Source organism: Homo sapiens, chromosome X (assembly GCF_000001405.40).
Source record: "Homo sapiens chromosome X, GRCh38.p14 Primary Assembly".
In the NCBI taxonomy this organism is placed as follows: domain Eukaryota; kingdom Metazoa; phylum Chordata; class Mammalia; order Primates; family Hominidae; genus Homo; species Homo sapiens.
In genome coordinates this window covers 30,211,430-30,223,011 of record NC_000023.11, presented here as the reverse complement: position 1 = coordinate 30,223,011, position 11,582 = coordinate 30,211,430, and the positions used below count along the sequence as shown (strand labels likewise).

Genomic DNA, 11,582 nt, shown 5'->3' with positions numbered 1-11,582 from the left:
CTCATGTTCTCCCTAGGCTAACAGTAGTGGAAGGAATCTGTGTTACCCTCACTGTTATGGGGTAGGTGTTCACCTCAGTCTTCAGGGTCCTCACATTTACTTCTGCAACAACCTAGAAATCTTCTCTCTACTGACCTGAGGCTGCCCACTTTGTTAATATTTTTCACCTCCGCGAGATTACCTGGGAAGAAGTGAGTATGATACATCATGTCATCATGTCCAGGTCTCAGGTCTGACAATAGGGACAAGGTTCTATGTGACCCTCTTCTTTCTGAGAGGGGTCCCCTCATTGTCACTCAGTGTCATCATGTTGAATCCTGTTAAGGAGCCAATCTCCTCCCTCTACTGAATGGGGCCTCTCCTATTAGTCCAAGGACTTCCTGTCCCTGAGACCACTCCCCTCCCCTCAGCGAATGTGGGGTAACCTCAGCCTGAAAGCTATGCTTATGGCCTCCCAGGGCATAACTTTCTTTTCTTTTTTTTTTTTTTTTTAAGATAAAGTCTCGCTCTGTTGCCCAGGCTGGAGTGCAGTGGCGTGATCTCAGCTCACTGCAAGCTTCGCCTCCCAGGTTCAAGCAATTCTCCCTGCCTCAGCCTCCCAAGTAGCTGGGATTACAGGCGCCCACCATCACGCCCAGCTAATTTTTGTATTTTTTAAGTAGAGACGGGTTTTTGCCATGCTGGCCAGGCTGATCTTGAACTCCTGACCTCAAATGATCCGCCCACCTCGGCCTGCCAAAGTGCTGGGATTACAGGCATGAGCCACCGCGTCTGGCCCGGCATAACTTTCTAAGGACGTCCTTGTTCTGTTCACCTCTCTAGCAGTTGTTTGCCTCTTTCCTCATATGAGATTTTTACCTTAATACCTATCATGGTCTGGGATTCCACTCTTTGCTTAACTGGGAGGCCAGCCTGTAAATCAAGTCTCTCATCTCCTTGAGATTCTCCAGGAAGAAGACACGGGCACCTGGGCCTGCCAGCTCCTCCCTAGGCCTCCTAGGGCTAATAGCAAAGGAATGACTAGAGGCACGCCTGCCAGTTATGGGTTGAGTGGTCCCCATATCCACATGCCAGGCCTTCACCTTGACTCTGCCCCCTTCCTGGGACTCCACTCCCTACTGACCTGAGGCCATAGCCTTCAGACCAAAGTCCTCACCTTGCTGGGACCTGAATTGGAAGTCAGTGTCCACCAGGACGGTTCTGGACTTCACAAGACTAACAATTGGAACGTGACTTTACAGGCCCCCAACTGTTCTGGCTGGGTCCTTCCATCACCCTCATTTAGGTTTATTACCTTCATTCCTATAAGAGGCTGGGATTCCTTTCCCTACTGACTTGAGGATGCTGCCCTTAGGGCTCTTATGTCTCTCAGACACCTGAAGAATATGTGAGGGGATGCTCAGACTGACAGCTCAGCCTAGGACCGTGTCTGAGAGCAGAAGGGAATGTGTCTATGTTAAACCCCTGCCTGATATTCTGGGATGTTGGTCTCCCCAGCCCTCATCTTGGCTCTGTCTCTTGGATTAAATGCTTCCTGCAAAATGCCACATCTCTGCAAATTCTAGAACAATTTCCTCTCTGTAAACATTGCAGAGAATGGGTCTCTGTCCTAGGAGTGGTGTGATACCGCAAAGCTGTAGCACAAAGCAGGGGGCCTAGGATTGGAGATGGGCAGCCAGAGATAAGATACATTGATCTATTTCTTCTATCAGCCAGCCTTACATTCTCATGTAATTTCTGTTCTGATAGATTTATTTTCTACAGGGAAGAGATTGTTCAGGATGATTTGGGGAGCCCCTGATCTTTTGAGGTTATCTAACATTGCGAATGTAGATAATCATACTGTCACTGAATATTGCCTCTTTTACTTATTTATACCTCTCAGTTTTTTTGGTATTATTGTTGCTGTGGCTATGTATTCCAATCTACTAGTTTGGGTTACAAGGTTATTCTTTTTATCACCTGAAACACATTCCGCAGTAATGAGAAGAAAACGGAAATATTTTTTCAAGGTTTGCCTCAGGCTGAGAGGGGTGGAACAGGGTAGGCTCTAGGGTAATTCAGATCAGGAGGCTTATCCCAACCCTTTCACTACTGGCCCTGTAAACTTTGGCAAATTACCAAACTCAGTGAGCCTCAGACTCTTTACCGTAAAGTGGGTTTGATAAGCCCCATCTCGTAGTACTGGTGGAATATATGTAATGCATGCAAATGTGCCTGTCTCGTCAACTGAGACATCAGGAAGTGGCAATTACCACTATCATTTTGATCAGAGACATTACCAACATTCCAGTTGAGATTAAAAAAAAAAAATCCAGGATATCTCAGAGAATATGCAACAATTTTTTTTTTTTTTTTTTTTTTTTTTTTTAGAGGGAGTTTCGCTCTTGTTGCCCAGGCTGGAGTGCAATGGCGCAGTCTCGGCTCACAGCAACCTCCGCCTCCTGGGTTCAAGTGATTCTCCTGCCTTAGCCTCCCGAGTAGCTGGCATTACAGCCATGCGCCACCACGCCTGGCTAATTTTGTATTTTTAGTAGAGATAGGGTTTCTCCATGTTGGTCAGGCTGGTCTCGAACTCCCGACCTCAGGTGATCCACCCACCTCAGCCTCCCAAAGTGCTGGGATTACAGATGTGAGCAACTGCACCCGGCTGAGAATACGCAACATTCTAAGACTGAAAAACCCCATTCAGCCAAAATGCTGCTTAGCAATGAAAACTATTGCTTTCATCACTTCTTTTTCCTATCTTTTATTTTTTATGAAGTGTCTCACCTTCCATGATGACAGCTTCTCCTAGAATCTACAATTGCATGAGCACAAGCTTGGTCTTCTTTGACTAAACATTCCCAGTACAAGCAGGAAGACTCCCAAAGAACAGATGCTCAATTAAAATATTTAAAGTAAGAGCCATAAACAAGAGGATTAACTAACTATGGTTTAATTTCTCACACATTCTTGAATAACATAAACAAATCCAGGTATGTATCTTTATGAAAAGAAAGATTAAATGAAGTAAACCAAGAATTGACCACTTTTACACCTCTGGCTTCTGATCCCAAATATTTCACTATGGGGTCTTTCACATTTCCAAAGATATTTCTACTCTAATGCCACATTTTCTTGTCCTGGATTACAAAAGTGATTTAAGGATTTTTATTAATAAGTTGTTTCACTCAAAAAACAAAACACTTTCTACTGTCCCTGAAAAACAGCAATAACAGGGTGATCTATATCATTTGTAAATTTACATTCTGAATCTAAATAAACCTGTTGAAACACTAGTTGAAAAAGAGAAAAAAAAAAAGTCAACAAGTTATTCATGCATAACAAGAACAAAGGTTAACAGGCCTTTTGAATTACAAAGTAAAGAATCTGCCTAAGACCTCATTGGGGGTGAGAACAGCAGGTAAACTTGGCTTTGGGAGATTGATTGGCTATGGCAGTAGTGCAAGGCCTGGCTACAACTCTGGCTCAGACTCCGGCTTTCTCTTCATCTTTCAAAGCTTCTTCGTAATGGGTTGGGAAGGCACAGGGGGTGGTACCATTTACCTTGGCCAAAAACTCCAGGACTTTCATCTTGCTGGTTTCAGCATAGGCTCTCGGACCCCACAGGAATTGAAAGCGTGGGGGATCACTGCTGGGCACCTGCTTGTACTCCAGATATTTTTCCTGCACCAGATCTTTGGTGATGAGCTTCCAGGGTTCCCCAAAGACTGAGTGCTCCTCTCCATCATAGACTCCCAACATATTCAGGAATTCCCAGATCTCTTCCTCAGTAGCTGAGTTGCCATTTAAGAAGATCACACCCAGGAGAGGCATCAGAAGCTTTCTCCTGGGAAAGTCCCAGGAACTGAGCAGGGATTCCTCATCAGTGAGGTCTACCTTGTCGATGAAGGTGTAAGTGTGGCCGTTGGGGTTGACTTTATTCAGCTCAAGGCCAAAGACAACACTGAGGCCCTCAGAGGCTTTCTTGAGGATCTCAGGGAAGTGCTCCCTGAACCTTTTGCCAACAATTTTCAGCATTTCTCCCTTTGTAACGGACTTTTTTATTTTATACTTGTACAACAGGAACTGCACCAACGACCCTGACTTCCTGGTTAGAGGATCTTCGCTTGGGCTCTTAGTGGATGTTGAGGCCTGGGAGGAACTTGCATTTTTCTCACCTTGGTGGCTCTTGGCACCTTTTTTAGATTTTGTGGATGAAACACCCGCAGCCGCAGCAGCGGCAGTGGTTGGGGCTCTCTGAGGCTCCTGGGGAATGCCAGCAGCAGGAGAGCTTGAAGCAGCACCCCCAGAAACAGAAGAGGAACAGCAGGGGGCCTCTTCTTCCTCTGCTTCAGTGACCTGAGGAACATTGAGACCCCGGGTCTCATCTCGGGCCTTGCGGCGTTTCTCACGGGCACGGAGCTTACTCTTCTGACCACGAGGCATGATGGCTGGGTAAACCAAGAAATGTGGGCAGAAGAATAGATGGTTAGTATACCTGGAGATGGGAGAATGAGATCTGTGAGCACCTTCAGCTGGAAGACCCCATCTTAGCTTTACTGAAGGAAGCCTGCCTTTGCAAGTTTCCCTGAAGGCACTGTTCTAGAAAGCCACAAGGCTCCTGTCGTCCTGGTTATCCTTTCCCCTGAGACACCAGAGAAGAACCACAGAACCCCTACAGTGAGTTTCAGACTGCATTCTGTCAGCCCTTCCTTGGGCTTACTATGGTGACAGGAGGTACTGGCAGTGCGGCCTCCTGTCTTCTGGTGTTTGGGGTTTTATCAGTTAACTTTTAGGATTATCATATGAAGTCTTGGCAGGGCCTGAGCCACTCCCTTCCGCTACTGTGAATTTGACACCTCAAAGCACCCTGGGACTCATGAGAAGAAATTGAAGGGGTGCCTCAACCACCACCCTGAGAAGTGACACCCAGTGCTGAGAGTTCAGTGGGGTCTTTGATGTCTTGGAATCATTAGAGTCTTCAGCTCTCATTCAAGGTCCCCACCTTGGCTTCATGTAGGGCTTGGCACCAGCCCCCTTCTGCTGAGTGGTGGCTACACCGTCAGACTAAGAATCTCACCTCTCTTAGATCTTATATAAAAAAGAGAGGGGGACACTAAACCTGATAACCCTTTCCTGAGCTTTCTAGGGCTGAAAATAAAGGGTTGGACTGGATTCTTTGATGTCTCCACTGTTAAGGGTTCAGTGGTTCCTTGAATTCTCAGATTCCTCAATTTGACTCCTGGTAGAGGAGCTCTCCTTTTTATTGAACTGAGGCCTATGTCGTCATGGTAAGAGTGAACATCCCTGAGAACCCATAGGAGGAAGTGAGGGTGGCCTTATCTGACCAAATGTGGTCTTCCCAAAAGTAAAAGCTGTGGCAGGCAGATAACTGCCCTGTGATAGATGGTCCCACATACAGTCCCAACTCAGCCTCTAAATTTGACTCATGAGAGGGTCTAAGATTCTTCCCTGATATGGTTTGGATCTGTATCCTCACCAAATCTCATGTCTAACTGTAATCCTCAATGTTGGAGGTGGAGCCTGGTGGGAGATGACTGGATCATGAGGGCAGGTTTTTCATGAATGGTTTAGCACCATTCCCCTTAACGATGACTTCTCATGAGATCTGGTCATTTAAAAGTGTGTAGCGCCTCCCCTGGCCTCTTGATCCTGCTCTGGCCATGTAACATGTCTGCTTCCCCTTCCCCTTCTGCCATGATTGTAAATTTCCTGAGCCCTGCTCCCAGAAGCTGAGCAAATGCCAGCATCATGCTTCCTGTACAGCCTGCAGAACTGTGAGCCAATTAAACCTCTTTTCTTTGTAAATTACCCAGTCTTGGGTATTTATAGTAATGCCAGAATGGACCAATTAGTACATTACTTCTGTTGACAAGTGATCACCACCCTCAGATTAAAACTCTCATTTCCCTGTTACCCTTGAGTGGGAACTGATGGGCACCTCTGTTTCACATTTCTGCCTGGGGTCTCTCAGAGCTGACAGTACTGAGGATTGTGTGGCTCCCACTAATATGGGGTGGGAGCCCCCTGCAGTCGTCAGAGTTCTTATCATAACATCTGGCACAACCTGGAAACCCTCCCTCTGCTGACCTCAAGCTGCCTTTTTTTTTTTTTTTTTTAAGAGACGGAGTCTCGCCCTTTCGCCTAGGCCGGACTGCAGTGGCTCTATCTCGGCTCACTGCAAACTCCGCCTCCCAGGTTCACACCATTCTCCTGCCTCAGCCTCCCGAGTAGCTGGGATTACAGGCGCCCGCCACCGCTCCCCGCTAATTTTTTTTTTGGTATTTTTAGTAGAGACAGGGTTTCACCGTGTTAGCCAGGATGGTCTCGATCTCCTGACCTCGTGATCCGCCTGTCTCGGCCTCCCAAAGTGCTGGGATTACAGGCGTGAGCCACCGCGCCCGGCCAGGCTGCCCTCTTTAATGGGGTCGTTCACTTCTCTGAGATGTCTTGGGGAGAGTGAGTACAACTCAACATGCCATGCTCAGGTCTCCCTGGTCTGACAACAAGAGTGGGCTCTATATGGCACTTCTTTCTGGTTGGAGTCCCCTCCTCATCACTCAGTGTCACATCCTTGCTTCCTGTTAGAGACTGGGCCTCTCTGTCGCATTAGACCTACCCCATTACACCAAGACCCTCACCTCCCTGAGACCACCTCCAGAGGAAACTAGAGAGCATCTCAGCTTGCTAGCTTTGCCCTGACCTTCCTATTGCTGGCAGCAGATGTGGGTCTTGGATGTAGCCCTCAACTTCTTTAGTCCCGGGAGAGGAAGTCAGGTTGCTCTGCATTTGTCATGTCAGCCTGGGACCATCTAAAACCCAGTGTCACCTCGGCCTGGGAACTGCCCAGCATGACTCCTCTTTTGGGTAGAGGTCCGCTCATTAATACTCAGAGTCCTCACCTTAACCCCAGTTAGGTTTTAGGTTGATGCCATATGAGCAGAAGCAGGGCTGCTTCCTAGGTTCAAGGCCCTCCCCTCCCTGAGACTTTCCAGGCACAGCTTTGCTGGGGCCTCCCAGAGCCGTCTTCAGGGACGAGACTTAGTGAGGCCACCTTTGTTAAGGGTAGGAGATGTTCTCTTCAGTCCACATTTAGGGCCCTCAAATTGATTTCAGTTAGGGCCTACACCCACCCTACGTGCAGAATGAGGCCTATTCCCTGCGTCCAAACCTCCTTCCCCCGCGACTGCCCCTCCCCCCACCCTTCCCCTGCCCTGGAACTTTCCAGGTGGAACATTGCCGGACGGCTTTACCGGAGCCTCTCAGGACCAAATGCAGAAGCGGGACTTAGTGGGGCCCTCTTTGTTACAGGTGGGGGTGGTCTCTTCAGTTTACACTCAGGGTCCTCACCTTGACTGCCGACCAGTCCTGAGAATTCACCCCTGGCTGACCAGACGCCGCACCCCCTACACTCGCTCGGGTCCTCGCCTCCAAAGCGGAAGTCAGGATGAGCCACATCCGCTCGGGTCTTTTTTTTCAAAGCGGAAGTCAGGATGACTCACATCCGGCAGCCCGTGGCGTCTGAGGGCTGACGGCTGGACGCTACCGGACGTCACTGTTCTAGCGTTGCTGGTCCCTTCGTCTCCACTAGGGGTCCTCACCTCAGTATCTAGCAGCCTGGGACGAATATGCGTGCTGACCCAAATCCGCCAGCCTCCAAACAATACCCCCACCTCCCTCAGCCCCCACTGTGGAAATCTAAGCGTGCCAAACAGGCCACCCCTGCCTGGGCCTCACAGGCCTGACAGCAGCGGCAGGGCTCTGTGAATGTGCCTTTTTTGGGGAGAGGTCTTCTCATCCGCCCTCAGAGTCCTCACCTTGATTCCCGTGAAAGCCAAGACTCTCTCTCTGCACAACTGGGGTCACCCTCTTCAGACAAAGGCCCTTCCTTCCCCGAGACTATACAGGTGGAATGAAGGGGATTCAGAGATACTTATTTTGGGGCCTCTCGGTGCTAACAATGGCGAGGGGCTCTGTTTGGCCCCCTCTGCTGGTGTTGCAAGGGGGAGAGCCCCCTCGTAACACTTAGGATCCTCACCTTGATTCCTGTTAGGGCGTGGGTTTTGTCTCTTTGACCTAGGGCCATTTCCACTAGTCCAAGGTCTTCACCTCTGTGAAACACACGAGGCATATTGATGGGATTTCTCCACCTCATAATTCTCTTCTGGGCTCCCCAAGGGTGACAGCATTGGTGGAATTTGTGGGCTCCTCTGTTCTGGGGTGGGTGGTTTTGAAACTGCCCCTATGAACTGTATAAAATTAATCAGGGAAGAGGGAAGGGAGATAAATGAAGATACGCCAAGCTTGCAGAACATTCAGCATTAATCATGAAGTCAGCTGCTCTCTGACCTGCTTCCTCATAGTAGTTTGGTGCCTATTATCCCAGAATCATGTAGATCCTGTTACTAGATTATAGTTGCCCTTAATTGCTCTATAGATAACAATTTTAACATAATGAAACTTTTTTTCTTTGAGATATTCCTTAAGGTCCTGCATACTGATGATTCTAATGACTCAGCTGGTCTGAAGGACCCCACTGATGCCAGCTGCTCTAAAGGACCCTACTGACATCAGCTGGTCCAAAAGACCCCACAGGAGCTGACTAAAAAAAAAAAAACGCAGTTTCCACATTCTGATGATTTCATCCCCTTTACCCCAACGAATCAACAACCTCAGTTCTCCAGCCCCTCGCCCTCCATGATCTCCTTGCAAATCCCAGCCCAGAACTCCTTGGGGAGATGAATTTGAGAGTCTCTTCTCATCTCCTCACTTGGCACCCTGCAATCATTAAACTCTTTGCTGCAAACTTTGCTGTTTTATTATAGTGGGTCTGTTACTTTGCAGCTGACACAGAAACTCGTTGGTCCTATAACAGTTCTCTTATTTCTCTTCAGGGTCCTCACCATGACACCTGGCCAGTCTTGGGGCACTCCATCCTCCACTGACCTGAGGCTGTTCCCATCAGATCAAGGTACTCACCCTCTGCCGACCTCTGAACTGGAAGTTGTGGTGAGCTACATTTAGCCAGGGCTGTTCTGGACTTTGAAGGGCTGACAGCCTGAGCTGGACTTTTTGGGACCCCACAGTTCTGGCTGGGTCCTTCCATCATCTTCATTCAGGGTCCTCACGTTCATATCTATCAGAGGCTGAACTGCATCTACTGACATGAAGTTGACCTTCTTAGGCCATGTCCATGAGAGGTCTGAAGATTAAATGAGTGGATGCTCAGCCTGACAGTTCTGTCTCGAGCTCTCTAGGTCTGAGAGCAGATGAGAGTCAGTCTATGCATAACCTCATATATTCTGAGATATTGGTTTCCCATGTCCTCTGAACTGGGGATCATCTTTCATTAAAGGCTTTCTGGGAAATGTCACATCCCTGCAAACATGACCAGTTTTTCTACTGCAAACCTTGCAGAGAAGGAGCCGTGTTCCGGGAGTGATGTGAGATAGGGAAGCTGAAGCACAAGGCAGAAGCTCCAGGACAGGTAGTGGGCTGTCAGAGAAAAAAACATGCTGATTTTTTCCATCTTGCTAGACTTAGATTCTCACGAAAATTCTGTTCTGACACATTTATTTTCTACAGGGAAGAGACTGTCCAGGATGATTTTGGGAGCTTCTGATCTTTTGAGATTACCTGATATTGCTTGTGTAGATGAACGTATTGACACCAGGTACTATTTTTCTTTTTTTTATTTATGCCTCTCATTTATTTTGGCATTCATATTGGTCTGGGAATATATTTGACCCAGTAGTATGGGCACAGAGTCCTTCTTTTTATTGCCTGAGATACATTTTTCAAAAATAGAGAGAAAAAATGAATGAAGCAACATGAGGTTAGCCTCAGAATGGGAAGACTGGAACAGTGTGGGATGTAGATTAATCCAGACTGGGGGTCTGGTTTCAGCCCTGCCACTTACCAGCTATGTGAACTCAGGCACATTACTAAACTCTGTGAGCCTCAGGCTCTGCATCTGTGAAATAGGTTTGATAAGCCCCTTCCTTGTGGAATTGGTGAAATGTGGTTAATGTATGTAAAGCACCTGGCACAATACTTGGCCCATATTGAGGTTTCAACATGGCAGCTATTACCTATGATTAACTTGATGATACCACCCATCCCACTGTGATTGCTTTTTCTTAATCCAACAGATGTCAGAGAATATGCAGCATTCTAGAAGAAAGAAAACCCAATAAGCCAAAATGCAGATTAGCACGAAAAATCAAGTAATATTTCCCCATTAAATGATAAATTATTCAATGTGAGGTAGACTTCTCCAGTTAGGTGCAACACAACGCATTTGCGTCAAGGACTAACAACTTCCTTCCCTCCCAGTGTCACTTCCATCTAAATCACCTTTATTTTCATTAATTTAACAAGCACCAAACACCTAGAACTTGCCTAGAGCTTGCCAAATTATGTACATGATAGCCTAATTTGAATGCTCCTTTTAATGAAATTGACTCTTAACTCTTCCAGCCCAGTGCAGAGTACCCAGCGGCTTCTTATCATTTCTTCTTAAGGGAGTATCATCCTTATTTCTCCGAAGCTCACTGGATACAATGTATATAAAGCAGCTAGTTTCTGCACTGTGTTCATCTGCACTGGGACAAGAGCATAGTCACTTTCCAGTGCTGCCCCTGGTGGAGCTTCTTTCCAGTTTTCTCCAAAGTTAAGAGCACTTTTCCATTATAGGCTTAGTCTCTCAACTCTGAAGCTTACCATCTGAGGGTCTTGCCCTGCTCACCACTCCCACAGCCTCCTCCAGTCCAGCATGCAGCCTCACTTAAAATTACCTCCCAGTGAGGGACCTGCAGTTTCCCAAGGCCCTAGCTTTCTTTTTCTCAGAGCATTTACACTACACACTCTCATCTGGAACCCTTCCCACTTTCTTACCTGCCTCCATCTTTTTTAACCTTGTCCTTTGGATCTGAGAGATACTTTCACCATGTATTTGTATGATAGCTGCTCCTAACGACTAAAATTCTTTGGACAATGGGTAAAACTTTCTTTTTTTATTTCTTCTCATCTCCTTCATCTCCAGTACTAACATTGAGCCTTCCAAAGAGCAGAGAATTGATTAATATTTAGGGAATAAAAGAGCCAATGAACAAGAGTACTAAATGAGTACAATTTAATTTATCTTACATTTTTGAAAAAGCCAAACAAATCCAGCTATATATCTTTTAATTTTTTAAAAAGAAAGGCTAAAAGGAATAAGGCAAATCAAGAATTGAACACATCTCACCTTTTTTTTTTTATTTCATGATTTTAACTATTTGAGTGTGGAGTTATTTCACATTTCCAAGAAAATACCTATTCTGATGCTATGTTATTTTGTGTGGATCACAGGGGGAAAAATCAAGGATTTTAACTTTTTTTTTTTTAACTAAAAACTCTCATTTTTTAAATTATTTATTTTTCTTTTACTTTAAGTTTTGCTATACTTGTGCAGATACATGTACAGGTTTGTTATATAGGTATACATGTGCCATGGTGGTTTGCTGCACCTATTAACCCGTCATCTAGGTTTTAAGCCCCACATGCATTAGGTATTTGTCCTAATGCTCTACCTC

At 46.5% G+C, this 11,582-nt stretch overlaps 1 protein-coding gene and 1 long non-coding RNA gene across 3 annotated transcripts, besides 3 other annotated features; one reads left to right on the top strand and one right to left on the bottom strand.

Moving 5' to 3' along the window:
- On the bottom strand, window positions 2,923-7,449 carry MAGEB2 (MAGE family member B2). Of its 2 annotated transcripts, none has more exons than XM_011545512.2 (2): window positions 7,357-7,449; window positions 2,923-4,483 (listed from the first exon to the last, which is right to left on the bottom strand). In XM_011545512.2, the coding sequence occupies exon 2, from the start codon at window positions 4,429-4,431 to the stop codon at window positions 3,472-3,474; it is 960 nt and encodes a 319-aa protein (XP_011543814.1). In that variant the 5' UTR covers window positions 4,432-4,483; window positions 7,357-7,449; the 3' UTR covers window positions 2,923-3,471. The 2 variants fall into 2 exon arrangements, with proteins under 2 accessions (XP_011543814.1, NP_002355.2); NM_002364.5 differs by having other exon boundaries at window positions 2,923-4,436.
- Window positions 3,102-3,687: an enhancer, noted in NCBI's record as "OCT4-NANOG hESC enhancer chrX:30237442-30238027 (GRCh37/hg19 assembly coordinates)". NCBI's record gives its function as "activates a minimal SCP1, AML or CMV promoter by ChIP-STARR-seq in naive H9 embryonic stem cells {active_cell/tissue: H9 hESC(naive)}" and the evidence as "EXISTENCE:reporter gene assay evidence [ECO:0000049][PMID:30033119]".
- Window positions 3,759-4,258: an enhancer, noted in NCBI's record as "H3K4me1 hESC enhancer chrX:30236871-30237370 (GRCh37/hg19 assembly coordinates)". NCBI's record gives its function as "activates a minimal SCP1, AML or CMV promoter by ChIP-STARR-seq in primed H9 embryonic stem cells {active_cell/tissue: H9 hESC(primed)}" and the evidence as "EXISTENCE:reporter gene assay evidence [ECO:0000049][PMID:30033119]".
- Window positions 7,066-8,265: an enhancer, noted in NCBI's record as "P300/CBP strongly-dependent group 1 enhancer chrX:30232864-30234063 (GRCh37/hg19 assembly coordinates)". NCBI's record gives its function as "activates an origin of replication core promoter dependent on BRD2, BRD4, P300/CBP, MED14 and CDK7 cofactors, with strong dependence on P300/CBP, by STARR-seq in HCT116 cells {active_cell/tissue: HCT116}" and the evidence as "EXISTENCE:reporter gene assay evidence [ECO:0000049][PMID:35650434]".
- On the top strand, window positions 7,492-9,679 carry LOC107985632 (uncharacterized). The gene is made up of 3 exons (XR_001755983.2): window positions 7,492-7,913; window positions 8,901-8,977; window positions 9,592-9,679. It is a non-coding gene; the product is annotated as an uncharacterized LOC107985632 (long non-coding RNA).

Excerpts from the sequence above, each read along its gene's own strand:
- MAGEB2 (XM_011545512.2), bottom strand. The coding sequence starts at position 4,431 with ATGCCTCGTGGTCAGAAGAGTAAGCTCCGTGCCCGTGAGAAACGCCGC.